Genomic DNA, 26,921 nt, shown 5'->3' on the forward strand with positions numbered 1-26,921 from the left:
TCAGGAAAGAAGGTTTTTTTTTTTTTTAGACAGTTTTGCTCTTGTCGCCCAGGCTGGAGTGCAATGGTGCGATCTCGGCTCACTGCAACTTTCACCTCCCAGGTTCAAGTGATTCTCCTGCCTCAGCCTCCCGAGTAGCTGGGATTACAGGCGCCCACCATGACGCCCAGCTAATTTCTTGTATTTTTAGTAGAGACGGGGTTTCACCTTTTTGGGCAGGCTGGTCTCGAACTCCTAACCTCAGGTGATCCGCCCACCTTGGCCTCTCAAATTGTTGAGATTACAGGAGTGAGCCACCGTGCCCGGCCAGAAGTTTTATTTCCAAACCCCAGGAAGGCATTACAAATAAGAGATAGAAACCCAAATTAAGCTCTGAAACAACTGGAGACAGGCCTGCCTAGGTGATCAGGAGCATCCAGGCAGCAGGGATGGGAAGCAGAAGAGATGCATTCTGGATAGGGACCTCACCCCAGAGCCTCAGTCTGTACATACGTGTGACTATTCAGGGACCGGGAGTTGAGAACCAGAAACCCACCAATCCTAGTGTTGCCCTGGATGGGAGGCAGAGAAGGCAGCAGCACGTGAGGTCAAGGACATTACCAAGTCTGACCTTGGCATTTGTTGCCTGCTCTCATCCCCAACAGTCCATAAATAAGTTATCCAGCACATCTCAGGGGTGGAGGCGGGGGAGCAAGCCAACTAGCCATAGCCTCTGGAAGAAGGGGCAGGCCAGCCTGGCACTGGGGCAGAGCTACAGCAGAATGCAGTCTGACTCGTGCTTCGGCCTCTGCCGACGCTCCCCGGCTGGGCGTCCAGATGTGGCTCCTCTCCCCTGTATCGGATTTAACAATTGGTCACTGAACTTCCTTGGAAGAGCACAAGAAGAGATTCTAGAAGAAGGGGTGTCAGGATTGGGACAGAGAGTAGGGAGAGGAAGACAGGAAGGGGCTCCAGGGGAGAGGGACAGGCAGGGGAAGGACTCTGAGAGAAGAAACCTTGAAGAGACCAGTGCAGGAATAACAGGTGTTCTGGACCCGGCAAAGCATGAGGTGGAAACCGGGAGTGTGGGCGCCCAGGCAGCAGCCCACCTGCAGTGACAGGACCCGCGTCCGCATCCGCACTGGCTGCGCTGCCTGCTGCTGTTGATACTCCTCTTGCTGAAGCTGCTGGGCCAGCTCCAAGTCGGTAAGCCCCAGCGGGCCTCGTGGCTGTTGCTGCTGCAGGGACAGAGCAATCAGGTAGTCCTGGGGAGAACAAGAGTTGTGCAGTGGGCTGAGGCCCAGAGCCGTGGCTATTCAGGCAAGGTTTCCAAATCAGTTTTCCCACATCCCTCAAATTCTCTAGCTCTTTCTCCCCACAGAGCAGCACACACAGCCAAATGCATTATCTGTGGTGCCAGAGAATACACACCAAGTGAGGAGACGGTCTGAGGTAACCCAGAGAGAGAGGCATGGGTTCACATGGCCTCTAGCAGTTAAAATGTATGCAGTAAAAAGCTCTCTGAGGCACATGTGCTCTCTGCACTTTTCCTAAGTGCCCTACACACCTGGTCTACCTGCAGCTGCGTTTCTGGGGAGCCACTCCCACCTTCTGCTCCAGGCCCCTTGCCCAGGGAATGACTCAGGTGAAAGTCAGAGTCACAAAAGCAGCTGTCTCCATCCACATTGTGCAGGCTCTCCCATACGACTTGCTCCTCCTGTAGAAAGCCCTGGTCAGTGACCAGTAGGTATAAGTGACTCTACAAAGAAAAGAACAGAGCTCATTGGGGGGACAGTTGATACGGAGGCAGTTCACTGCCAGAAATCTCGGTATGAGCATGTGGACTTTTTTTTTCTTGGAGATGGAGTCTCGCTCTGTCATCCAGGCTGGAGTGCAGTGGCACAATCTCTGCTCACCGCAAGCTCTGCCTCCCAGGTTCACACCATTCTCCTGCCTCAGCCTCCCAAGTAGCTGGGACTACAGGCACCCGCCACCATGCCTGGCTAATGTTTGGTATTTTTTTAGTAGAGACGGGGTTTCACCGTGTTAGCCAGGATGGCCTCGATCTCCTGACCTCATGATCTGCCCGCCTCGGCCTCCCAAAGTGCTGGGATTACAGGCATGAGCCACCGCACCCGGACCCTGAGCATGCGGACCTTTTACAAATATGTGTGGCCTTGGGGGGAAGAAAGGGATGTCTGAGTGTATGTCCAGTTGGGTGTGAGCACGGTGGTCATTCTGGCTAAGCGTGGCATGGAGTCGTTGGGGCTGAGATGCCACATAAGACCCTGCTCCCCCCATTTCCCATTGTTCTCTGGGCTTGCCTGATGGCTCTTAGGATAAATCCTTTGAGAACCAGAGACCCCTCCCTCTGCTGCTCAAATCCTAGAGAGCTTTGGCAGTTTCTAACTTTTGAAGACCAGCATTGTTTAAAAATTCCACTGCCCCCTCCTAGGGGAGGATCATACTTTCCTGTCCCATCGACGGCAGGCTTATCCCTTATGGCTTGCTCTGGCCAGAAGATGTGAGCAGAAATGACATGTGTCATTTCCAAACAGAAGCTCTAAGCATGAGTGCACAGTGCCCCTCTCTCTCTCTGTTCCCACATATATTCCAGATAAAGGATCTTTTGTCAGCTGGGTCCCAGAGTGAAGATGGTGTGGGACAGAACCGTAGCCAGTCCACAGTGGACACGCACCAGGAGCGGGAAATGAACCTTTGTTGTGGTAAACCACAGGGATTTGAGGGGTCACTTGCTACCACGGCTTAATCTAGCTGATCCCAGCTGGACCCACGAGAAAAAGGCACCAGGAAATGACAGCACCGCAGCACGCCACCCCCAAACTCGCATTACCTTATGCTTAGTCATGGTGCTAAAGTGGTTGTTTCGGAAAAAGACGCTAAGTTCACCCTCCTTAGCAGCTGCTGTCAGCTCACACAGTCCGTGGTAGGTCAGCTGGGCCGCGGTGGTCTCCAGGAACTGCTCTGCAATCAGGCCTGCCAGAAAGGGACGAGTCGGGGGAAACTTGGCTTAAATTCAAGGTCCACAACAGGAAGGACCATCCAGAGAGCCCCTGTCAAAAGCCCCGGGGGGTCAGTCCCACCTTCTGACGTCCCTTTCTTGAAACCTGGCTGTATTCATTCACTTAACAAATACTTATAATAGAGCAGCTACCTTGTGCCAGGCACTGGGGATACCTCAATGAACTAAACAGAAATTCCCCAAGCTCCTTCTTGTGAAGCTTATATCTAGTGGGATGTGGTAGGAGATGACACCCAATAAAAAATAAGCCTAAGTAGCTGTCATTCCCTCCACATACTATCCATGAGAAGGGGAGGAATGTCACCTTCTGTCACGAGGTTGGTGTCACTGGAGTGTTTGCAGGTGATGATCCTCTCCACCAGCTGGTTGTAACTCAGTTTCCCAACTGCACGCACAGCCTCAGGACTCTGCTTGGGTAGTGGGATGTGGGATACCAAAAAAATTGGGATTTTTTTTTCTTTTTTAAGGAAGGAAATGAACAAAGCTCACAAGGACTACAACCCTGTGATGAATGGTTCCTAAACACTTTTTTTTTTTGGTCTCTCAAAAAAGAAAAAAATTTCAGGAACCATTCATCATAGGGTTGCTATGTTGCCCAGACTGGCCTCGAACTCCTCCCAAGTAGCTGGGAATACAGGCATGTGCCACCAAACCCATCTGCTTCCTGAATTTTTGATGTCTAAAGAACTGACCTATTTGCATGTAGTTTGCTTGTATTTGCATGTTACCCCCAAAATAGATTAAAATTCAAGGAATTCTGTACTGGGTCCAGTCTCTAAACACTATTTCCCTCCCAAGCCAATCTAACCCCTAACTCCCTAACCTCTACCCGACAAAAATTTGCCTCTCTCATGTCAGCTTGAGCTGGATAAGGTCCCAGTGGGCCCTCCCACCCTCACCTGTGGATCAACAAGCCAGCCATGGTACAGAGGTATGCCTAGCAGGTCAAAGACACTGCACTCGGGTGTATACTCAAAATCAGAGACGCCTGTGAATCGCACATTGACATCCAGACCTGTGGCCAGTTTAGGCAGCACTGTCATTGCATCATCCACATTCTGGGGGTAGAAAAAAAAATGATGGAGATTCTAGCCTTCTCTCCCACCACTCCACTCCCACCTGCAGAAATTAAAAATTAACCTTGCTGCTCTTCTTCCCTGATTCTCTTACAAGCCACTCCATTTCTCCCTTGCCTCAACCCTTCTCTATCTTATATAAATGAACATTGTTTTTCTTTGAGAGTCTAAGTCTAATTCTTTCATCCAGGCTGGAGTGCAGTGGTGTGATCCTAGCTCACTGCAGCCTCAAACTCTTGGTTTCAAGTGACCCTCCCACCTCAGCCTCCTGAGTAGCTGGGACTACAGGCACGCACCGCCATACCTGGCTAATTCTTGAAAAAAAAAATGGTTTTTTTTAGAGACAGGGGTATTATTATGTTGCCCAGGCTGGCCTCGAACTCCTGGCCTCAAGTGATCCTCCCGCTTTGGCATCTCAAAGTGCTGGGATTACAGGTGTGAGCACCCGGCCAATGAACATATTTTCTAGGACAAAGATAAACTCTCCTCTGACTCCTGCAGAATGAAATCATGGTTCAAGGAAACCTCTGAAGAAGCAACAAAAGCTTATCTTAGTATTACAAGATGTCCCCTTACAAACCTGCAAACCCCTATGCCTGCAGACCTTTTGCCTCACCTGCTGAAAATTAAGCTGAAGTCCCTCTGACTTCTCCTGGGGCTTGATGGACAGGAGGCAGTTTCCTACAAGACAGGGCCCCTTATCAGCTTACCCCACCAATCATCCCAAAAGCTAAGTTTCCTCTTCTCCTGGAGAATGCGGGTAATGTCACAGAACACAGATTTTCAGAGCTGGAAAATACTTAGAGTCTAATCCAGACTCTTCATTTCTCAGAGGAGGCGACAGCCTCATAAAGGTGAACGGCCCACCCAGGGTCAGATACAAAAGCTAAGGGCAGAATTGGTGTTACAACCCAGGACTCCCGACGCCTTTGCTTTTCATTCTCCAGCCTTGCAGAGAAGCCCCATAGACCCTTACCCTCCCTGCTGTATCAGAACCCCCAAATGGAGATCCCTGAATAGTCTGGATTTCTGGCTGAGTGGATAGCTCTGGAGCCCCTTGGGTAATTCCTCTTCAACGCCCAGTCACTCACCAAGATGGGCCATGAGCTCATCCGATGTGATCACTTCCTTCTGCGGGGGGAGCTTCACCTGGAGGCAGAAGGGGTGATCACGTGTGTGCTTTCCTCCAAAGAGCACTGAAGGAAGAACCCATGGAAAGGCAAGGGGGAGCTCCAGTAGTAGGGTGGGGTAGGAAAAAAGGCTTGCAACTGGCACAAGGGAATGAATGTGAAATCTTGCAAGGCATGTGCATTTGCTAGGGAGTAGGAGATACAGGGGTAGGACAGATCTTCCTCTTTTTTTTTTTTCTTTGTTTTTAGGAACATCTTATCTCATTTGCTCAAGCTGGAGAAATAGGGAGAACAATCTGAAAAGTTTTGACTAGTTTGAGGACATCAGGATGATCAAGGAAGTAAGTCAGGGAAGAGTACTCCCTGATATTTTTTGCACCCCTAACTGCATGTTCTCTTACCTTCCACTGAAGAAAGAGGATGTTCATGATGGCAAGGAGAGGGCAAGGGCCGTTAGTGCTCTGGGTGATGATGGGTGTCTGTTCTCCTTTCCAAGGGATCCACTTGACACAGTAGAAATCTGGCTCAGGCTGTCGGGTCCTGGGGGACTGAGGAAGCTCCTGGGGCATGGAGCATGCCCTTATTGTCTCTACTTCAGGCAGTGTCCCAAGGGTTGGCCCCGGTGGAGCTGAGCTAGCTTCAGGCAGAGGGGACTCAAGGTTGTCCCCACACTGGCTAGGCAGCAAAGCTTGGTCTGCTGGCTCCCGTTCTCTAGCCTCCCCATCAGCATCTCTTGCATCTGTGTCCTGAGGGTGCTCATCTGGGCCTGCCAGAACCTCATGGTTTTCAGGGATGACTGCTTCTGCAGTCCCGGCCTTACCAGGGGCTGGATCCTCAGGCTGATGGTATTCCATGGTCAAAAGGGACTTGGCTGAGGGGCACTGAAGGTGTTTACTAACCTCAGGGACTTGCCTAAGCCAGGCTTGGGATGCAAAAGAGTGACCTGTCCAATAAGAAGGAAATCAGTGGGCTGGAAAGCAAACTAACCCAGAAAAGTCTTGGAAAAGGAATGTAGTGTAGAAGGCTGGCTAGTGTTTGTGCAGTAACTCCTGGCTATGGGCAGTATATGTGTAAACAGAAGGGCCCCGTGCTGAGCTCTTTCCACCTCTAACTTGCTGTGACCAGATGAGACCAAGAGGTCGTGGGGCTTCCAGACTTGGGAGGGAAGACTGGTGGGATTGAACACATGGGTGGAGTCAGCTTCCCTGAAACAGATCATGACAGGGAAGGGAGGAAAGACAGAGAGAAAGGGAGAGCACAAAGGAGAAAGAAGGATAAGAGGTGGAGAAAGAAATGTTAAATCTACGCTAATGGTTATTAATATGATGATCTTTAGCTTACTCTAATAGGCATCACATCAGTAACCCCCTCATAGCCATGACAGAGATAATTCCTCTGCCCTACCCCACACCCTGCCCCTTCACACAACATACTAAGAATACACAGTGCTTGTATGTTTAGGGATACCTTCTCTCTGCCTCACCCAAGGATAAAAAGATTAAGTCACATAGTACTTGGGGTGAAGAATGGAGGAGGCACAGAGAGTCAGTTTCATGCCCCTAAAGGTGAAATGCTGGTGAGGAAGGGGAAGTCTTCCACCTCAAAGGGCTCTACTGAACCTTACACAATCCCAAACCACAGTATAAAGGCCTTGGGAGGGGTTTCCTGTAAGCTGGGAGGGGAAATGTAGGTGGTGGGGGCTGGAATCAGAGACTGGTTTTGATAAATAACTTCAGATTAGGGGCACAAAAAGCACTCCCCACAAGTTCTTCCAGTAAGCTTCTCTTTAAAAAAAATTAATAAAGATATCAAATTTCTTTTAATTAAACTGAGACAGGGTCTTGCTTTGTTGCCTAGGCTGGTCTTAACTCCTGGGGGCCCAAGCAATCCGCCCTCCTCAGCCTGCCAAAGGACTGGGATTACAGGCATGAGCCACGGTGCCTGGACCCAGTAAGCATCTCTTGACAGCTAGCATTGAGACAGCAACTTTTCCTCAGTTCATTTTTTTTCCCCAGAAACTACCTAAACCCAGAGGTACTCTCTTGCCTGCTATTTCTATGAAATATGAAAATGCTGATTATTAATTTACATAACAATACTTCCTGTACATTCACCTACCTAAAGTTTTATGTCTATTCCCATCCAAGTGGTTTTATTTATTTATTTTTATTTTTTTGAGACAGAGTTTTGCTCTTGTTGCCTAGGTTGGAGTGCAATGGTGCGACCTCGGCTCACTGCAACCTCTGCCTCCTGGGTTCAAGTGATTCTCCTGCCTCAGCCTCCCGAGTAGCTGGGATTACAGGCATGCAACACCATGCCCAGCTAATTTTGTATTTTTTAGTAGAGATGGAGTTTCTCCATGTTGGTCAGGCTGGTCTTGAACTTCCGACCTCAGGTGATCCTCCCACCTTGGCCTCCCAAAGTGCTGGGATTACAGGCATGAGCCACCGTGCCCAGTCCTCTCCAGGTCATTTTAGATGTGAACACCGGACCTGTTTAACCTGTTCTCTATCAGCACTGGAGGCACATTGAGGCAAGCACAGATAGACATTTAACTAATACTGTGGGTATAAATAATAAAAAACCACAAATCCTGCCCTTTGGAAAACATCTCCCTTCAATCTCCTTGCTCCCCTCCCACTCTTTATCAGGGAGAGAAACAGGGAGAAATTAAACTAGTTAGGGGCCAGGCGCGGTGGCTCACGCCTGTAATCCCAGCACTTTGAGAGGCTGAGGCGGGCAGATTACTTGAGGTCAGGAGATCGAGACCATCCTGGCTAACATGGCAAAACGCTGTCTGTATTGAAAGTACAAAAATTAGCCAGGTGTGTTGGCACGTGCCTGTAGTCACAGCTGCTCGGGAGGCTGAGGTGGGAGAATTGCTTGAACCTGGGAGGCAGGGGGTTGCAGTGAGCTGAGATGGTGACACTGCACTACAGCCTGGGTGACAGAGCGAAACTCCATCTCAAAAATAAAATAAAATAAAATAAAATAAAATAAAATAAAATAAAATAAAATAAAATAAATTAAACTAGTTAGAAATCTTGTCTTTTCTCCACCCTCCTCCCAGCCTGAGACTGCTTCCTTCTTGTAAACCTACAGGAATTTGGGGCTAGGGGAAGGCCTGGGAGATGAGGTTGAGGAACATTAAAGTTACTGAAACAAAATAAGCCTAGTCACTCAAATTGATTATCCTCTTGATTCACATATGTTTATGCTAGCTGCATATCATTTACGTGTTGTTAATTTAGAATCAGAGTAGCAAAAATTGCCTGCAGGCCTTATGCTTTTTTTTCTCTCTCTTTCTCTCTCTCCTTTCCTTCTCCCCTTAAATGACACTTAGGGTGAACCTCAAAGCAGATGCCAGAGCCTGGAAAAGTGAAAAAGCTTGAAGAAAAGCAGGCCTTGGCCGGGCACAGTGCCTCACACCTGTATCCCAGCACTTTGAGAGGCCGAGGCGGGCGGATCACCTGAGGTCAGGAGCTCAAGATCGGCCTGGCTAACATGGCGAAACCCCATCTCTACTAAAAATACAAAAATTAGCCGGGCACGGTGGCGGGCACCTGTAATCCCAGCTACTCAGGAGGCTGAGGCAGGAGAATTGCTTGAACCCCGGAGGTGGAGGTTGCAGTAAGCCAAGATTGTGCCTCTGCACTCCAGCCTGGGTGACAAGAGTGAGACTCTTGCCTCCAAAAAAAAAAAGAAAAAAAGAAAAAAAAAAAAGAAAAGCAGGCCTTATTTTTTATATTTTCTCTCCAGTGCCAGAAATGATCAATGATGAAGTGGGGGTTGGGCAGCTAGCTGGCTGGAGAGGTGAGCCAAAGGAACCCAGGAGTGGACACCTGAGGGAGTGGGGTCTCAGAGGAACTGGGCAGAGCTAAATGGGCTAAGTCTTAAGAGGCAGGGGCAGGAAATGTAATGGAGGCTTTCTACTCTACAACGTCCAATCCTGCTGGGGAGGGCATGGAGTATTTCAGAGTAGGAAAGAATGAGGGAGAGGATAGTCAGATAAATCAAAGTTTCATTCTTTTCCTCCTCTTTCTTAGCTCGTCAAATCCTACACTTTCTCTCCAGCTGGAATTATGGTGGTGAGTGAGGGAGTTAAAATAATCCTGGCTCCTCCCTAATCAATGGCAGTAGAGAGCCGAAAGTTGGAAGAAGCACGTAAAACAGGTATGTAGCTTCAAGAAGACACTCCTTCTCTGTAGGAACAGTTCCCTTACTGTCTCACACCAATCTCCTTCTTAGTCTGACCTATGTCTTTGTGCAATCAATAGTTTAGATTTTCATCTCAGAATATGTCAACCATGGCCACAGTGCCCTGTATACTTGCTCACAAGGAGAGGGGGAAGGTTTCGTGCTTTCATTAAAAGGAGGAGGACCAAGCAGCATCCCCTTTACATGTCTCTCCTGACTTAGCTCCTCTAAGCAATCCAGACTTGCAGACCAAAGGTGGAAGGACAGCAGGTGTCAGCTCCCCAAAGCTGGAGAGGAAATAGAGAAGGGTGGGAGAAGAGGTGAAGAAGATGATTAAAATAAAGTTTTTACCTTAAAGAAGGGGGTGCTGTTCCAAGATTGAGAAGGAGGGTTCAGCCGTGGCAATGAGATGGGGGAGATAGGTGCAATGAAGGGGGCTGCCAGTGCCAGCTGCCTTCCAGCTGTCAACGCCTGAGCTTATACAGGTTTACACAGCTTTATAAGCGACGGTCCAGGCTGGGTTGTGGCCACTTCCGGACTCACGCCCAGTACTGGGGGCACTGGAGGAGGGTGAAGGCAGGCAGGGACACAGCCAAGGTGCTCCAGGTCGCTCAGAGAGTCTTCAGGATTCCTGAGTCGCCGAGTCTATGGCATGCGCTCCGGGCCCTGACTACAAGCTGGTTTTCAAAGGAAGTTTGTGGTTTTTCTTTTCTTCTCTCTCTCTTTTTTGTTCTCATCAGGACGAAGAAAAATTAGGCAAGGACAAGCTCCCTGGAGGAGGAGGGGCCTGCCCAGCGCTGGTGGATTTCCATCAGGACTTTCTGACCCGGTCAGCAGCTTTGTGATCAGCAGAGAGGGAGCGAGAAACAGGAGAGAAAAACAACAGACCCTTTCTCTTCCCTCTGCCTGCCTCTAGAAGGGACGGAGCGCTTGTGCCTCTCTGGTGAGAATAGGGAAGAGCAAGTGCCCTTGCTAAGTAGGGAGGAGAAGGGCTGGACAGAAGCAGCTTGTTGGATCTGGGCTCTCTCTCTGGGTATGGCAGTCCTTTGCTCTGGATCCACAGAAGCAGGAGCAAAGAGCACGATATTTGCATGTATTACTCAATTAATGTTAAAAACAAACAAACAAACCCAGCTCTTTTCCCTCTGGAGCCCTCCAGAGAGCTCCTTTCCAAGTCCTTGCTGTATCATTTTTAAGTCTAGAAATGAAACTGGTTGGGTTGTGCACCTGGTAGAGTGCAGAGGGTGTGGTAGAAGCCCCAGGCTCTGGGCGCGATGGCTGACGCCTGTAATCCCAGCACTTTGGGAAGCCAAGGCGGGCGGATCACAAGGTCAAGAGATCAAGACCAACCTGGCCAACATAGTGAAACCCCATCTCTACTAAAAATACAAAAATTAGCAGGGCATGGTGGCACATGCCTGTAGTCCCAGCTACTCGGGAGGCTGAGGCAGGAGAATCGCTTGAACCCGGGAGGTGGAGGTTGCAGTGAGCCAAGATCCTGCCACTGCACTCCAGCCTGAAGACGGAGCAAGACTCCGTCTCAAAAAGAAGAAGAAGAAGAAAAGAACTGGCAGAGCAGGCAGGAGATCCAACACGCCTGTGCTCTGGATCTTGGTTCCACTGCAGGCCTCTCATCAGTCACCTCCTCTCGATTTACAGCTGGGGAAGCAGGAAAAGCTGGTGTGAGGCTGACGGTAGGAAATAAAGGGATAGATAAATAAATGAGGGAATTTTTGATGATGAGTGTCCATTTATTTGCAGTACCTGCACTACTCTGCGGCTGGAAAGTGGCAGTTAAGGGAGGTTGGAACCTAACTCCACATTCTGAAGGGTTCCCTAAACTCTATGTACAGGGCCGCCACAGGATGAAATTTCAAGCAACTCTAAAGGCTGAAAGAGCAATTGGAACAATTAGGGTGGCAGAGAGCAAAAAGCCAAGGTTACAACCGTCCAAGAAAGGAAGAAGATATTTGCCGAGGCTGTAGAAAAAAACAGGCTACAGAGTTGCAAAGGGAGAAGCAGCAGGAGTTGGCAGGAGACTGTAGGTGTTAACAAGAGGGGTCAAAGATTATTCTAATGTTCTCCTAACATGAACAACCACAAAATTGGTGGCGACTGAGTCAGTTTGGTAAAGGGCAGAATTTGTAGAAAGAAGATGATCTGTTTTGCCAAGTGTCATTTAAAATGTCACCAGATGCTCGGTGTGATATATGTAAAGATGTTATACTTGGCCTGATCTGAGAGGGAAAGTTCAGATGCCACAATAATGGGTTACTGTGACACATACACATTTGTTTACCGAACGACTGATCCCTCAGAAAACAATCCTTCCCTCGGTTGCTAGGGACATTGCGGAGTTGCGGGACTACGTTTCCCACGTCGCCCCACGCCACGCCCCCTTGGCCTCGCCGGAAAGACGTCCCAGGAGCCTCTGGGCGTAGAGCCCCGCCTCCGCCGCTGGGGGCGGGGCGACGCCGGACTCCGGAGCGCCCGCTTACGCAGTTCCTCCCGGGGTCGGAGGCCGATTCGCCGTGTGGCGGGTTCGAGTCCCGCCTCCTGACTCTGGCCTCTAGTCCCTGAGTCCCGGGCGGGCTGCATTCGTCGGGGAAACCTCTCCTCGACCAGGGGCACCTCTACTCGACCAGGGGCGACGGCGTACTTTGGGCTTCATCATGGAGGACTACCTGCAGGGTTGTCGAGCTGCTCTGCAGGTAACGAATCCCTGTCTGTGACTGTAAGGAATGGAGCACGGGGTCCAGGAAGGACGAAGACGTGGGATCTGGGGGAGCCTCGACGGTCCGTGTGGAGGGAACACTGAGTTGTGGGGAGGGGGGTTGGGGCCTGATCAGTTTTGGGGCATGAGGAGCGAGGAGCGAGAAGCCAGTTTAGGAGCGTGAGAATGCTGCTTGTTCAGTCTCCCGGTTTTTGGCTCCCCGCCTTTGGGGTCCGCCTGAGAGCGGGGAGAAGTCTTGGGTCTGAATCCTGCATTTGAGCCTCTGCTTGCTGTCATCTTGGTCAGTTCCATCAAAAAAACCAGGACTGTGCCGCCGCCAGCCTAGCCCCGCGAGGTGTGTTTATTCTTTTCTCCCCGCCCCTCTTTGAGTTCTCCGCTCCCAAGGCTTCGCTTGGCCCACTGGCCTCCAGGTGAACCTCGGGGGTGTGGAGGGAACCGGTGCTCACGGCCTTATTTCCTCCGAATGGCAGTTTCTGTCTGGCGGGCTGAACTCATTTCTAGGTTAGAAGTAGTCACAGTATTTTACTTTAAGTCAGTGTTTTTAAGCCAAACATACAAAATCCATCAGGCATATTTGTTGACCCACAACCAGCATTCCTTTGCCTCCAGGTTTCTCCTTTGGCCTTAACGCACACAAATGACATAAAAATTCTCCACTTGGAAGGGATAAGCACAAAGTGTGTTTGGAATCAAAACCATAAATATGACTACTCAATGCTTTGTGGCTTATTTTTGGTGCTCTCTGACTCAGTTGGACTCACCCAGCCATGCTGAGCCGTCATGAGGCATTAGGCTGTTATCCCCAGTTAGCAGCAAAAAGCTAACCAGAGACAGGCTCCAGGAGGTCACCCGGCCCCTCTACTTTGAGTTATACTGCCCTGAAGAAACCTAGATAGATGGCTTGCTGAGCTTTCCTTTTTAGATATCTTAAACTCTACAAATTCCCCTGAGGGACAGATTCTGGTCTTTAACAAATCCTGAAAGTCACTAATTCCTGCTGCAGACTCAGCTGCTGGAATAAATGAATTGTCTTCATATTGAATTGGGGAGAAGGTCCATTTTAACACCAATTACATAGACATTTTCCTTGTGAAAAACAAATTTGGGGAGTTATTTCAATGCATAAGGCCATTTGGAACCAATCCCTTTTTGTTACCTCTGAGTCCACCACAGGGCGCTTATTGGAGGACTAATGTAGAGTTTTTGGGGCACCGTTCTAAGTGCTAAACAGTTGGATTTTACCCCCCAGTAACCCAAATGACTGGTCTCTTCCACCATTTGGTAAAGTGCCCTTGGACCTGAAACCTCACCAAATAGTATTTCTTTGCATGCATCTACTCTCCAGCATATATCCTCCAGAGCCTCCCCCGACCCCCAGGTTAGTAGTATATTCTCTATTTTTATTTTGTATTTGTTTATTTATTTTCAGCCAGGGTCTCACTCTGTTGCCCTGGCTGGAGTGCAATGGTGTGATCACCTCCCCGGCTCAAGTGATCCTCCCACCTCAGCCTCCCGAAAAAGCTGCGACTATAGGCAGTGCCACCACGCAGGGCTAATTTTTTGTATTTTTATAGAGACAGGGTCTCGCCATGCTGCCCAATCTGGTTTCAAACTCCTGGACTCAAACAATCCCCCTGGCTTGGCTTCCCAAGGTGTTGGAATTACAGGTGTTAGCCACTGTACCCAGCCCGAATAGTATATTCTCTACAGCAATATGAAGCTGGAAAAATACTTGATTTTTCCAATACTGCTGGCATCTCGACCTTTCTCTCCCTGCATTCATCCCCCAAGGAGCAAGATCTAGATCTTCCTTTCAAACTTGTGAACTTGTGAAAGGTGAGATTGTGTCTTAGAGCTTGCATCATCACATAGCCTCTCCAGGGCCTGGAGAAATGAGAAAATTAGACTCTAGGAAGGTTAACAGGGGAACTGATGGCAAGACATACTGGTAGATGCCAACAATTTAAATTGCTTTAATTTTTTTTTTTTTTTTTTTGAGATAGACTCACTCTGTCGCCCAGGCTGGAGTAGGCTCACTGCAACCTCCACTTCCCGAATTCAAGCGATTCTTCTGCCTCAGCCTCCTGAGTAGCTGGGATTACAAGTGTGCGCCACTATGCCTGGCTAAGTTTTGTATTTTTAGTAGAGACAGGGTGTCACCATGTTGGACAGGCTGGTCTTGAACTCCTGACCTCAAGTGATATGCCTGCCTTGGTCTCCCAAAGTGCTGGGATTATAGGCATGAGCCACCACACCCAGCCTAGATTGCTTTAAATTATAGAAGTAGTAAATGTGTATTTCATGAACAAATTTAAATACCAAAGGGATATGAAATGAAAAAGATAAAGATCATTTTTCTTTTCTCCTCTCCATCCAGTTCTCCAGAGGACACCGTTAAGTTTCTTGTGTAAAGAGAGAGAGGTGATTTAGACAGATACACTCTTAAGTTTGAATGTTTCTGTTAAACTACAGTTTAATTATAACTTTCAGAAAATCATGAATGCTCCTCTTTGTGCAGGATAAAGACAGCTGGTAATCCAGCCAAGTCTCCCGTTGCTACCATATTTTTAGTATTTGATACCACAGAAATTTTCTATAGCCTCTGCCACAGAGACAATAGGATGTTCCATTAAAAAAAAATCATTTAACCAAATGTCCTATTTATGGTGACTCATCTTTCACTTCTGAGGGGAGAAATCTTTGCTTCAGGGTGGGGCTGCATTGCAGTTTAGGTGTTCATCCAGGACCCCTTGGATAATGTAGTGTGTGCAGTTCTCAGGCATGAGGCAGGAATCAGGAGCTGGCTCTCCTTAGAAATTTGCAGTCCTGGCATCAGTATTGTTCCTGTTTTCTCTGCTGAGAGGGTTTGTCTCTCTCTGGCTTTCTGTCTCGTTTATTTTTCTCCCCCATTAACTATTCTGAAGAGTAGTTATCATACCATATTCAGCTTTAGAAGGGAAGTGGTTTACTTTGCCAGGCCTAGAATCCCCTCCCTGCCCCCTCCTCTTGAGGCCACAAAGAACATATCAGGATAAGAGAGTCATTTCAACTAGTGGGTGTTTATTCATTTATTTATTTTAATTAATTAATTTTTTTTTTTTTTGAGACAAAGTCTCGCTCTGTCACCAGGCTGGAGTACAGTTGCATGATCTCGGCTCACTGCAACCTCCGCCTGCCAGGTTCAAGTGATTTTCCTGCCTCAGCCTCCCGAGTAGCTGGGACTACAGGCATGTGCCACCATGCCCAGCTAATTTTTGTATTTTTAGTAGAAACGGGGTTTCACCATGTTGGCCAGGATGGTCTCAATCTCTTGACCTCGTGGTCGGCCCACCTCGGCCTCCCAAAGTGCTGGGATTACAGGCGTGAGCCACCGTGCCTGGCCAACTAGTGGGTCTTTAAAAAAAAGAAAAAAGAAAAAAAGTTTGTATTTATTTACTTGTGGCCCTCAGATTGTATTTTTTCCATTGGCAGCTTAGATTTCCTCATGCTGCTAAGTATAGCTGTATTTTCCCTGAACTCTTTCTCTGATGGTCAGAAAACTGAGGCTGTTTGGCTTGTGCTTTCAGCTGGTGGAGGATGGGCTTGGAATTAGGGGTTACACATGTTTTTCTTAAATAAAGAAGAGAATGATGTCTTATAAGTTGGGCAGCCCCACACACGGTTTGCCCAGGGCAGTCTTGGTTTTCCCCTGTGTAATCATTAATAGCACCCCTTTTCATTCTCATAAGCGTCCCAGTTTGAACAATCAAATATATAGTCACCCACCACATAAGCCATGTTAAGGATCAGGGATACATGACCATGAAAAGACAGGGAGCTCCTTAAGATAGAAGTTAAGGTCTGTCTCAGAGCCACAAGTGCTAGAAGCTGGAGGTTTAGAGGAAGAGGATTTCTCTGGGCTGGGTGTTCAGGAAGGCTTCACAGAGAAAGACATTAGGTAGACTTGAACAACGGGGAGAAGTAAAGAAAGAAGATGGGAGATCACATCTTTACTATTTACAGCGTAGGCACTTATGGTACTATCTCATTTAATCCTCCTAACAACATCATGAAATTGGTTACGATATTATTCTCATTTTTTTTGTTTGTTTTTTTGAGATGGAGTCTCACACTGTCACCCAGGCTGGAGTGCAATGGTGGGATCTCGGCTCACTGCAACCTCCGCCTCCCGGGTTCAAGCAATTCTCCCTGCCTCAGCCTCTGGAGTAGCTGAGATTACAGGCACCTGCCACCACACCCGGCTAATTTTTGTGCTTTTTAGTTTCACCATGCTTGCCAGGCTGGTCTCGAACCCCTGACCTGAGGTGATTCGCCCACCTTGGCCTCCCAAAGTGCTGGGATCATAGGTGTGAGCCACCGCGCTCGGCCTATTCTCATTTTTATATGAGGAAAATGAGGCTTAGAGGGTCCAAAGTCCTGCAACAAGTAAGAAGCAGAGCTGGAATTCAACCCCAAAGTCTGTGATCTTTTCAAATAGTAGTTCTGCATTCAAACAGAGAACAAATAGTGCAAAGGGCAGAGCTGGGAATGTGCACATCATGGTTTGCGGGTGGTGAATAGTCCAGTCAGGCCGGGGTGACAGTGGGTGTTGACAGGGGAGAGGAATGCTGCTGCCTCCCTTGGTCACTCCAGTTCCAAGATTTGCTACAAGTCCCAAAGTATTCCTTTTGTATTCATTCCTTTTGGTTACTGTCTAGGTTTGGCTGAGCGCAAGGGGTTCATTGTTCACCTTCCTCTGTAGATGGTTTCTCCTGACTTCAGAACCATACCACTGTATTTGGTCCCTACTTTGTGCTTTTCTGCTTAGCATTCTCTTCATGGTAAGGATCTAACTGAACCTGATTCAGCTGCTGCTTGCAGTGAAGCAACACTGATGTAAATAAGCGTGGAAAGGTTCTCCAGCATCTCTTTGGACCCTGCAGTAGGTCTCTCCTGCTTGCTCTGCCTTTTCTCCACTGCTCTTATGTTTTTCCTCCAGTCAGGGCCATATGCCTCATGTTTATATAGTTTCCTCTCTAGAGAACACTCGCTCCCCCTAACTGCTTCAGTGAGCAAGTTATTTCTGCAGCCTCTTATCTCAAGTGCTTTGCTGTCACTTTGGTCCACAGCCATTTGGGCAGTTCTTGGTCTCCAGGAAACAGAGGTCTCTGGTATCAGGAGGAGGAATTACAAGTCAGAGGAGTTACTATAGGACTGGGGTATTGGGTAGAATTCTTACTGCTTTGGAAAAAAGTAAAGAATCCCCCTACCCCAGTGCTGTTCAGTATGAATGGGCCTTTGCTTCCACACTTTTTTTTTTTTTTGAGACAGAGTCTCGCTCGGTCACCCAGGCTGGAGTGCAGTGGCACGATCTTGGCTCACTGCAACCTCCGCCTCCCGGGTGCAAAAGATTCTCCTGCCTCAGCCTCCCGAGTAGCTGGGACTACAGGCACCCGCCACCACGCCTGGCTAATTTTTTGTATTTTTAGTAGAGACGGGGTTTCACCAGGTTAGCCAGGATAGTCTCGATCTCCTGACCTTGTAATCTGTCCGCCTCGGCCTCCCAAAGTGCTGGGATTACAGGCGTAAGCCACCGCGCCCGGCCTGCTTCCAAACTCTTGAAGTAGACTTAGAGAAATAGGCATGGGGAGGACCTCAGGGCAAACTTCTTTAGGGGCCCTTTGGGCAGAACCCGGACAGATAACCTCTGTCTTCTGTATTTCTCTCCAGGGATGGGAGTAGGAGATGGCGACGAGGGTGGTTTAAAAACAAAAACCTATCTCGTAACTGGATGGGGCAATTGATACCACCAGAAGTCTTCTAAAATTGCCCTTTTTGAGCTGTGGCTTTCCAGTGGGGGAAGAGAAGAGTGATAGCCTGTATAGGGAAGATGATTCTAGGTTTCCCTAGATTCCCTTTTTTTCTTAAAGTTACATTAGTTGATAACTATTCTTTGCTATGTGTTACTCCTCTGAACCTTCCCACTTTGCTAAACTCTTGAGTCTAGCAAATCTTCCCTGATTGAAGAAGTCAGACTATATGGATTTTCACCTTCTTGTAACCCAGTAGTTCTCAACTGGGGGCAGTTTTGCCCCCCAGGGAACATTCAGCAAGTCTGGAGACATTTTTGTTTGTCACGACTTAGGGTGCTACTGGCATCCATGTGGGTAGAGGCTAGGGATCCTGCCAAATATCCTATAATGCACAGGACAGCCTCCACAAAAAAAGAATTATCCGGCTGGGCATGGTGGCTCATGCCTGTAATCCAAGCATTTTGGGAGGCCGAGGCAGCTGTATCACTTGAGCCCAGGAGTTCGAGATCAGCATGGGCAACATGGTAAAACCCCATCTCTACAAAAAATGCAAAAATTTGGCTGGGCGTGGTGGCTCACGCCTGTAATCCCAACACTTGGGGAAGCTGAGGCGGGCGGATCACCTGAGGTCAGGAGTTCAAGACCAGCCTGGCCAACATGGTGAAACCCTGTCTCTACTAAAAAATACAAAAATTAGCTGGGTGTGGTGGCGCACGCCTGTAGTCTACTACAGCTACTCGGGAGGCTGAAGGGGGAGAATCACTTGAACCCAGGAGGCAGAGGTTGCAGTGAGCCCAGATTGCACCACTGCACTCCAGCCTGGGCGACAGAGTGAGACTCCATCTGAAAAAAAAAAAAAAAAACAAGGGCCGGGCACGGTGGCTCATGCCTGTAATCCCAGCACTTTGGGAGTCTGAGGCGGGCGGATCACGAGGTCAGGAGTTCAAGACCAGCCTGACCAACATGGTGAAACCCCGTCTCTACTAAAAATACAAAAATTAGCCGAGCATGGTGGCATGTGCCTGTAATCCCAGCTACTCAGGAGGCTGAGGCAAGAGAATCTCTTGAACCCAGGAGGTGGAGGTTACAGTGAGCCGAGATCACACCACTGTACTACAGCCTGGGCGACAGAGTGAGACTCCATCTCAAAAAAAAAAAAAAAAAAAAATTAGTCGGGCATGGTGGCGGGTGCCTGTAGTCCCAGCTACTCAGGAGGCTGAGATGGGAGGATCACCTGAGTCTGGGAGGTGGAGTCTGCAGTGAGCCGTGATTGCGCCATGCACTCCAGCCTGGGTTACAGAGTGAGACCCTGTCTCAAAAAGTAAAAGTTAAAAAAAGAAAAAGAATTATCTAGTCCAAAATACCAGTCATGCTGAAATTGAGAAACCCTGCTATATTTAGTGTGTCTCATTTTGTCTGTCTCATCCCATCCTCTCTCAGAACCAGGCTGAGATAGAAGTTCAAAAGTAAACTGGTGGGCTGGGCATGGTGGCTCACACCAACATTTTGGGAGGCTGAGGTGGGCGGATCACTGGAGGTCAGGAGTTCACGACCAGCCTGGCCAACATGGCAAAACCCCATCTCTACCAAAAATACAAGAATTAGCCGGGCATCATGGCGCATGCCTATAGTCCCAGGTACTCAGGAGGATGGTGCAGGAGAATTGCTTGAACCCAGGAGGTGGAGGTTGCCGTGAGCCAAGATAGTGACACTGCACTCCAGCCTGGGCAACAAAGTAAGACCCTGTCTCAAAAAAAAAAAGTAAGCAGGTAAGACAGAAGTATTGTGCCATATGCTGGGCCATAGGCTTTCTGGTCTCATTCCACCCAGCAGAATGCTTATACCTGGAATGAAATGATATAAGTACCTGCCTCATTGGGTTAAAGATTAAATGATTGATTAATGCATGAAAAAATATGAGAATAATGCCTGGCACATTCAATAAATGCTTAAAACCAAACAAAACCCAAGACCCTGTCACCCCGATTTTGGGCACTCCAGTTTTAGTATATTTTATTTTATTTATTTATTTGAGATGGAGTTTCGCTCTTGTTGCCCAGGCTGGAGTGCAAAGGCGCAATCTCGGCTCACTGCAACCTCCGTCTGCCGGGTTGAAGCAATTCTCCTGTCTCAGCCTCCTGAGTAGCTGGGATTACAGGCGCATACCACCATGCCTGGCTAATTTTTGTATTTTTAGTAGAGATGGGGTTTCATCATATTGGTTAGGTTGGTCTCAAACTCCTAACCTTAGGTGATCCGCCCGCCTCAGCCTCTCAAAGTGTTGGGATTACAGGCGCCAGCCACCACGCCCAGCCCTGGACTAGATCTTACTTTTAACCTTTATTCTCAAAGCCTCTTCACCTGCAATCATGATTTAGAAGTGTAAGCATTCGGCCGAGCACGGTGGCTCACGCCTGTAATCCCAGCACTTTGGGAGGCCAAGGCGGGCGGATCACCTGAGGTCGGGAGTTCGAGACCAGCCTGACCAACATGGAGAAACCCCATCTCTACTAAAAATACAAAATTAGCTAGGTGTGGTGGCGCATTCCTGTAATCCCAGCTACTTGTGAGGCTGAGGCATGAGAATCTGGTCAAAACTCCATCTCAAAAAAAAAAAAAAAAAAGTATAAGCATTCTTTTACCTATTATGAAAATGGGAAGAAAATAATCAACCAGGGTTGATATGCCCAAGAGCATGCCTTGAATGTATCAGCTACCCCAAATTCCCTTTTTTGACTGTTTGAGTGCCCAAAGAAGATAAGAAATCCGAAGTTTATTTACTGCTCTATAAGTTAACATTGAAGGAGATAGGAGGAAAGAACACTTTTCTACAAACTGGATATAGGTAGAATGCTATAAGCTTAGCTGAAACACTTATGCCATCTATGGAATGAGGACCCATTAGATTATTTGACCTACCTCCTCTGTGAAGATCAATGAGAGGAAGTGTGTGAAGCCCTACATGAGTATAAGGTAGATGGAGAGGCCAGGCACAGTGGCTCATACCTGTTATCCCAGCACTTTGGATCTCGAGCCCAGGAGTTTGAGACCAGCCTGTGCAACATGGCAAAATCCCGTCTCTACAAAAAAATACAAAAAATTAGCTGGGCATGGTGGCGCTTTCCTGTAGTTCCAGCTACTCAGGAGGATCGACTGAACCTAGTAGGAGGTTGAGGCTGCAGGGAGTTGTGATCACGCTACTGCATTCCAGCCTGGGCGACAGAGTGAGACCTGTCTCAAAAATATATATATTATTTAAAAAAAAAAGATAAGTGGAAATGAATAGAGATACTTTTGTTAGTTTCCCATTTTCCTTTCTCTCCAGGAGTCCCGACCTCTACATGTTGTGCTGGGAAATGAAGCCTGTGATTTGGACTCCACAGTGTCTGCTCTTGCCCTGGCTTTTTACCTAGCAAAGGTGGGTAAAAAAACGTAGTACCTAGGATCTGAGTCCCTCAGAACGAAAAGATCTGGATTCAAGACCCAGCTCTACCACTTACCAGCATTTAGCATTGGGTAAATTAAATCCCTTAACTTTGCTGAGTCTCATGCCACCATCCATAAAAACTAAAATGATATTTTGCAGTGTTGCTGTGAGGAAAAAAGTGAGCAAATATATTTCGAGGGATATGTAAACCATAAAGCAATATTCAAACAGTTTATTACTGAGTTCCGTATAGGTATCAGTGATCTAGTGTGTATTCCTCTGCCCAGGTTAGTTCTTGAGGACTAAAAATTCCTTCTCTGCAGCATTGCATCTAGAAATAGGTATTTACCATGAGTTACCTTGTTGACTTTCATGTTATTACTAAGAAGGAGGGAGGGCAAAAGTCATCCTTTCATTTTTATAGACTGGGTACTTATGGCTTTGAGAAAGGTGGTAACTTACCTAAGTATGTCTCCTTTGGTCCCAGTAGTCTTGTTACTTTTTCCTGTCATTATAAAACCTTGTGATACCTTCTTTTCACTTTCCTATCTAGACAACTGAGGCTGAGGAAGTCTTTGTGCCAGTTTTAAATATAAAACGTTCTGAACTACCTCTGCGAGGTGACATTGTCTTCTTTCTTCAGAAGGTTCATATTCCAGAGAGTATCTTGATTTTTCGGGATGAGATTGACCTCCATGCATTATACCAGGCTGGCCAACTCACCCTCATCCTTGTCGACCATCATATCTTATCCAAGTAAGCACAAGGAAATTAAATTGCTACCTATCATGTACCATGCTGGGCTCTGATGAGTGAGATATAAAGAGAGGAAGAAAGAGTTTTTGCTGGCTGGGCATGGTGGCTCATGCCTGTAATCCCAGCACTTTGGGAGGCCAAGGCGGGCGGATCACCTGAGATCAGGATTTTGAGACCAGCCTGGACAACATGGCAAAACCCCGTCTCTACTAAAAATATAAAAATTAGCTGGGCGTGGTGGCAAGTGCCTGTAATCCCAGCTACTTGGGAGGCTGAGGCGGGAGAATCACTTGAACCTGGAAGGTGGTGGTTGCAGTGAGCCGAGATCGTGCCACTGCACTCCAGCCTGAGCGACAGAGCCAGACTCCGTCTCAAAAAAGAAAGAGTTTTTGCTTTCAGGGATCTCATAGGCTAATCATAATTGATAGGTCATATTAGATATAGAAAAACAACACAAAATATTGTCAGTTCTGCAGTTATATGTATGTCTGTGGCATATAGACATACCCTATAATAAAAAGAAATAGAACGTGTTGAGTTCAAACTAAAGGGTAACTCAAAAATCATTTAAATCTGCCTTTGGTATCATTATTTAAGATTTTGTGTGCCGGGTGTGATGGCTCACGCCTGTAATCTCAGCACTTTGGGAGGCCAAGGCAGCCAGATCCATTAAGCTCCAGGAGTTCAAGACCCGCCTGAGCAACATGGCAAAACCATGTCTTTACAAAAAATTTTTAAAAATTAGGCACGGTGGTGCATGCCTATGGTCCCAGCTACTCGGGAGGTTGAGGTGGGAGGATCACTTGAGCCCAGGAGGTCGAATCTGCAGTGAGCCAAGATCACACCACTCCACTCCAAGCCTGGGAGACAGAGGGAGACCCTGTCTCAAAAAAAAAAAAAAAAAAGATTCTGAGACAGATTTATTGTAATAGAAACCTTTGAAAAATGTTTGCAATTCTCTTTTTATTTTTTTACTTATTATTTATTTTTGTACTTACTTATTAAATTTTTTTTAGAGAAGAGGGTCTTGCTATATTGCCCAGGCGGATCTCAAATTCCTAGGCTCATGCTATCTTCCTGCCTCTGCCTCCCTAAGTGCTGGTTTATAGGTGTGAGCCACCACACCTGGCCTGCAACTCTATTTTTAATTTTAATTTTAATTAATTATTTTTTTTTGAGATGGAGTCTTGCTCTGTCACCCAGGCTTCAGTGCAGTGGTGTGATCTCGGCTCACTGCAACAACCTCTGCCTCCTGGGTTCAAGCGATTCTCCCTGCCTCAGTCTCCTGAGTAGCTGGGATTACAGGTGCGCGCCACCATGCCCAGCTAATTTTTATATTTTTTACTGGAGACAGGGTTTTGCGCTGTTGGCCAGGCTGGCCTGGAACTCCTGACCTCAGATGATCTGCCCACTTTGGCCTCCCAAAGTGGTGGGATTACAGGCGTGAGCCACCACACCTGGCCTATTTTTAATTTTTAAAAAGTGGCCTGGTGTGGTGGCTCACGCCTGTAATCCCAGCACTTAGGGAGACCTGTCTGACCACTATAGCGAGACCCTGTTCTCTAAAAAAAAATAATAAATACAAAAATCTATAAACATAGTGTGACCTTGTCTCTACTAAAAATAAAAAAATTTGCCAGGTGTGGTAGTGCATGCCTGTAGTCCCAGCTACTTAGGAGGCTGCTGAGGTGGTAGGATCACTTGAGCCTAGGAATTGAGGCTTCAGTAAGCCATGATCACATCACTGTACTCCAGCCTGAGTGACAGGGCAAGAACTTGTCTCCAAAAAAATTTTTTTAAGTTATCAAAAGGGCCAGGTGTGGTGGCTCACACCTGTAAACCCAGCACTTTGGGAGGGTGAAACAGGAGGGTTGCTTGAGCCCAGGAGTTCAAGACCAGCTTGGGCAAGATGGTGAGATCCCATCTCTACAAAAAAATTTAAAAGCACACAAAAAGTTAGCAAAAGTTTTTCTACATAAACTCTTACGATTTTAGAATAATGTATTATGTTAGAATATATAAATATCTCAGGCCAGGCGCGGTGGCTCATGCCTGTAATCCCAGCACTTTGGGAGGCTGAGGGGGGCGGATCATGAGGTCAGGAGATGGAGACCATCCTGGCTAACATGGTGAAAACCCGTCTCTACTAAAAAATACAAAAAATTAGCCGGGCATGGTGGCGGACGCCGATAGTCCCAGCTACTCGGGAGTCTGAGGTAGGAGAATGGCATGAACCCGGGAGGCGGAGCTTTCAGTGAGCTGAGATCATGCCACTTGCACTCCAGCCTGGGCGACAGAGCAAGACTCCATCTTAAAAAAAAAAAAAAATAGCTGGGCGTGGTGGCTCGCGCCTGTAAGTCCCAGCTACTTGGGAGGCTGAGGCAGGAGAATCGCTTGAACCTAGGAGGTGGAGGTTGCAGTGAGCCAAGATCGCGCCACTGCGCTCCAGTCTGAGCGACAGAGTGATGCTCTGTCTCAAAAAAAAAAAAAAAAAAATTAGCCAGGCCGGGCGTGGTGGCTCACGCCTGTAATCCCAGCACTTTGGGAGGCTGAGGCGGGCAGAATCACCTGAGGTCAGGAGTTTGAGACCAGCCTGACCAACATGGAGAAACCCCATCTCTACTAAAAATACAAAATTAGCCAGGCGTGGTGGCACATGCCTGTAATCCCAGCTACTCAGGAGGCTGAGGCAGGAGAATTGCTTGAACATGGGAGCCAGAGGTTGCGGTGAGCCGAGATCATGCCATCGCACTCCAGCCTGTGCAACAAGAGCGAAACTCCGTCTCAAAAAAAAATTTTTTTTAATCTATAAATATCTCAATAATGTCTGTTTAACAAATGTACACATTTATAATAATTCCATCCCTAATTTACTACTGGAAAAAACTACCAAAAAAGCAACACGATTATGTGACTTTCCTAAGTCTGTTTGGCTCCTGCTAATATTTTTTTCTTGAGCACATTGTGGTTATAGCAGGATACTGACAGAAGGCAGCCTGAGAGAGCATTATCCATCTATGGATTCATTCAGTAATAAACTTTCCTTTTTTTTTCTTTTTTTTTTTTGAGACAGAGTTTTCTCTTGTTGCCTAGGTTGGAGTGCAATAGTGCAATCTAGGCTCACTGCAACCTCCGCCTCCCGGGATAATTTTGTGTGTGTGTGTGTGTGTGTGTTTTTAGTAGAGATGGGGCTTCACCATGTTGGTCAGGCTGGTCTTCAACTCCTGACCTCAGGTGATCCGCCCACCTCGGACTCCCAAAGTGCTGGGATTACAGGTATGAGCCACCGTGCCACCACCTTTTTTTTTTTTAAGAGATGGTGTCTCTCTCGCTCTGTCTCCTAGGCTAGAGTACAGCGGCATCATCATAACCTTGAGCTCCTGGGTTCAAGGAATCCTCCCGCCTCAGCCTCCTGTGTAAAAGCATCATTCCTGGCTAATTTTTTTTTTTTTTTTTTTGAAACTGAGTTTTGTTCTTGTTGCCCAGGCTGGAGTGCAATGGCACCATCTCGGCTCACTGCAGTGAGCCTCCCAGATTCAAGTGATTCTCCTGCCTCAACCTCCCAAGTAGCTGGGATTACAAGCATGCGCCACCACACCCAGCTAATTTTTTGTATTTTTAGTAGAGACGGGGTTTCACCATGTTGGCAAGGCTGGTCTCAAACTCCTGGCCTCAAGTGATCCGCCCGCCTCAGCCTCCCAAAGTGCTGGGATTACAGGCGTGAGCCACCACGCCCGGCCTGGCTAATTTTTTTTTTTTTTTTTTAAGAGACGTAGTCTCGCTCTGTCGCCCAGGCTGGAGTGCACTGGCGCGATCTCGGCTCACTGCAAGCTCCGCCTCCCGGGTTCACGCCATTCTCCTGCCTCAGCCTCCCGAGTAGCTGGGACTACAGGTGTGCCCGCCACCACACCTGGCTAATTTTTGTATTTTTAGTAGAGACAGGGTTTCACCGTGTTAGCCAGGATGGTCTCGATCTGACCTCGTGATCCGCCCGCCTTGGCCTCCCAAAGTGCTGCGATTACAGATGTGAGCCACCATGCCCAGCCTTTATTTTTTATTTTAAATATATATATTTTTTTTTTATGGAACAGTTCACAAATGTGCATGTCATCCTTGCTCAGCGGCCATGCTAATCTTCTCTGTGTCATTCCAATTTTAGCGCATGTGCTGCTGAAGTGAGCACTGATCTCAGTCTTGAAAGAGGACTAGGTGTTTGCTTGGTGAATTGGGAGGGAGGAGGGAAGGTGGTTAGGAAAGGCATTCCAGGCAGAGGGAGTAATTAATAGAATCAAATGCAGGCAGGCGTGAAATAGCATGGTGAGCTAGGGGAAATGGAATTTGTTTTGCACAGCTGGAGCATAAAATTTGAGGGAGAAGTAGGACATGGAAAAAGATGAGACAGAGGGGGCAGGCAGGAGGCAGATTATGGAGGCCTCATAGGCCCTTCTAAGGTGATTGGATTTTATTTTAGGCCGTGGGGAACTATTTTAAATTATATTCTGGGTCCTAAAAGAATCAGATTTTCTTTTTTCAAATGATCATTCAGGCCACTTTGTGAAGGACAGCCCAGGAGGGCTCTTGGTTGGAAGCAGGTGATTGGTTAAGAGACTACTGGAATAGTCCAGACGAGAGATATTGAGGGCCTAGAGTGGGGCAGTAACAGAGAGTTAGAAACTAGGGCATGGATAGGAATTAAGATAGAATTCACAGGACCTGGTGACCCACATGGAATCTAAGTATTGAGTGGGTTATAAAAATAGGAGAGATTTGCTGGGCGCGGTGGCTCA

At 47.6% G+C, this 26,921-nt stretch overlaps 2 protein-coding genes and 1 pseudogene across 39 annotated transcripts in view, besides 6 other annotated features; 1 reads left to right on the top strand and 2 right to left on the bottom strand.

Moving 5' to 3' along the window:
• Window positions 1-11,858, bottom strand: MINDY1 (MINDY lysine 48 deubiquitinase 1). Of its 26 annotated transcripts, none has more exons than NM_018379.5 (11): window positions 11,713-11,858; window positions 9,777-10,262; window positions 5,630-6,433; window positions 5,190-5,247; window positions 4,715-4,779; window positions 3,922-4,080; window positions 3,327-3,429; window positions 2,834-2,976; window positions 1,547-1,738; window positions 1,089-1,244; window positions 1-832 (listed from the first exon to the last, which is right to left on the bottom strand). In NM_018379.5, exons 3-11 carry the CDS (start codon window positions 6,080-6,082, stop codon window positions 752-754), a joined length of 1,410 nt encoding a protein of 469 aa, NP_060849.3. In that variant the 5' UTR covers window positions 6,083-6,433; window positions 9,777-10,262; window positions 11,713-11,858; the 3' UTR covers window positions 1-751. The 26 variants fall into 26 exon arrangements, with proteins under 26 accessions (NP_060849.3, NP_001306927.2, XP_047281089.1 ...); NM_001319998.2 differs by lacking the exon at window positions 11,713-11,858 and adding an exon at window positions 11,190-11,664 and having other exon boundaries at window positions 9,777-11,084; NM_001163258.3 differs by lacking the exon at window positions 9,777-10,262 and adding an exon at window positions 9,566-9,712 and having other exon boundaries at window positions 300-832; window positions 5,630-6,171; window positions 11,713-11,841.
• Window positions 1,010-1,509: an enhancer, noted in NCBI's record as "H3K4me1 hESC enhancer chr1:150970021-150970520 (GRCh37/hg19 assembly coordinates)". NCBI's record gives its function as "activates a minimal SCP1, AML or CMV promoter by ChIP-STARR-seq in naive H9 embryonic stem cells {active_cell/tissue: H9 hESC(naive)}" and the evidence as "EXISTENCE:reporter gene assay evidence [ECO:0000049][PMID:30033119]".
• Window positions 9,603-9,862: an enhancer, noted in NCBI's record as "active region_1701". NCBI's record gives its function as "activates an Ori minimal core promoter by ATAC-STARR-seq in GM12878 lymphoblastoid cells {active_cell/tissue: GM12878}" and the evidence as "EXISTENCE:reporter gene assay evidence [ECO:0000049][PMID:35858748]".
• Window positions 10,093-10,272: an enhancer, noted in NCBI's record as "active region_1702". NCBI's record gives its function as "activates an Ori minimal core promoter by ATAC-STARR-seq in GM12878 lymphoblastoid cells {active_cell/tissue: GM12878}" and the evidence as "EXISTENCE:reporter gene assay evidence [ECO:0000049][PMID:35858748]".
• Window positions 11,765-12,307: an enhancer, noted in NCBI's record as "H3K27ac-H3K4me1 hESC enhancer chr1:150980776-150981318 (GRCh37/hg19 assembly coordinates)". NCBI's record gives its function as "activates a minimal SCP1, AML or CMV promoter by ChIP-STARR-seq in primed H9 embryonic stem cells {active_cell/tissue: H9 hESC(primed)}" and the evidence as "EXISTENCE:reporter gene assay evidence [ECO:0000049][PMID:30033119]".
• The window catches only part of PRUNE1 (prune exopolyphosphatase 1), a 27,265-nt gene continuing 12,257 nt past the window's right edge, over window positions 11,914-26,921 (top strand). For 4 of the 13 annotated variants that reach the window (NR_130135.2, NR_130131.2, NR_130132.2 and 1 more), the window contains exons 1-2: window positions 11,914-12,136; window positions 21,277-21,369. Coding sequence is in view for 6 of the 13 variants with exons in the window: in NM_021222.3 (NP_067045.1) it covers window positions 12,098-12,136; window positions 21,277-21,369; window positions 21,932-22,134 (335 nt within the window). In the remaining 7 variants the exon portion in view is untranslated. Of the gene's footprint in view, window positions 12,137-21,276; window positions 21,370-21,931; window positions 22,135-26,921 lie in introns of those variants that run through there. The other 9 variants (NM_021222.3, NM_001303242.2, NM_001303243.2 and 6 more) reach the window with 5 other exon arrangements.
• Window positions 12,308-12,848: an enhancer, noted in NCBI's record as "H3K27ac-H3K4me1 hESC enhancer chr1:150981319-150981859 (GRCh37/hg19 assembly coordinates)". NCBI's record gives its function as "activates a minimal SCP1, AML or CMV promoter by ChIP-STARR-seq in primed H9 embryonic stem cells {active_cell/tissue: H9 hESC(primed)}" and the evidence as "EXISTENCE:reporter gene assay evidence [ECO:0000049][PMID:30033119]".
• Window positions 12,504-12,553: an enhancer, noted in NCBI's record as "active region_1703". NCBI's record gives its function as "activates an Ori minimal core promoter by ATAC-STARR-seq in GM12878 lymphoblastoid cells {active_cell/tissue: GM12878}" and the evidence as "EXISTENCE:reporter gene assay evidence [ECO:0000049][PMID:35858748]".
• On the bottom strand, window positions 26,211-26,317 carry RNU6-884P (RNA, U6 small nuclear 884, pseudogene; annotated as a pseudogene).

This window comes from Homo sapiens, chromosome 1, assembly GCF_000001405.40.
Source record: "Homo sapiens chromosome 1, GRCh38.p14 Primary Assembly".
Classification (NCBI taxonomy): Eukaryota; Metazoa; Chordata; class Mammalia; order Primates; family Hominidae; genus Homo; species Homo sapiens.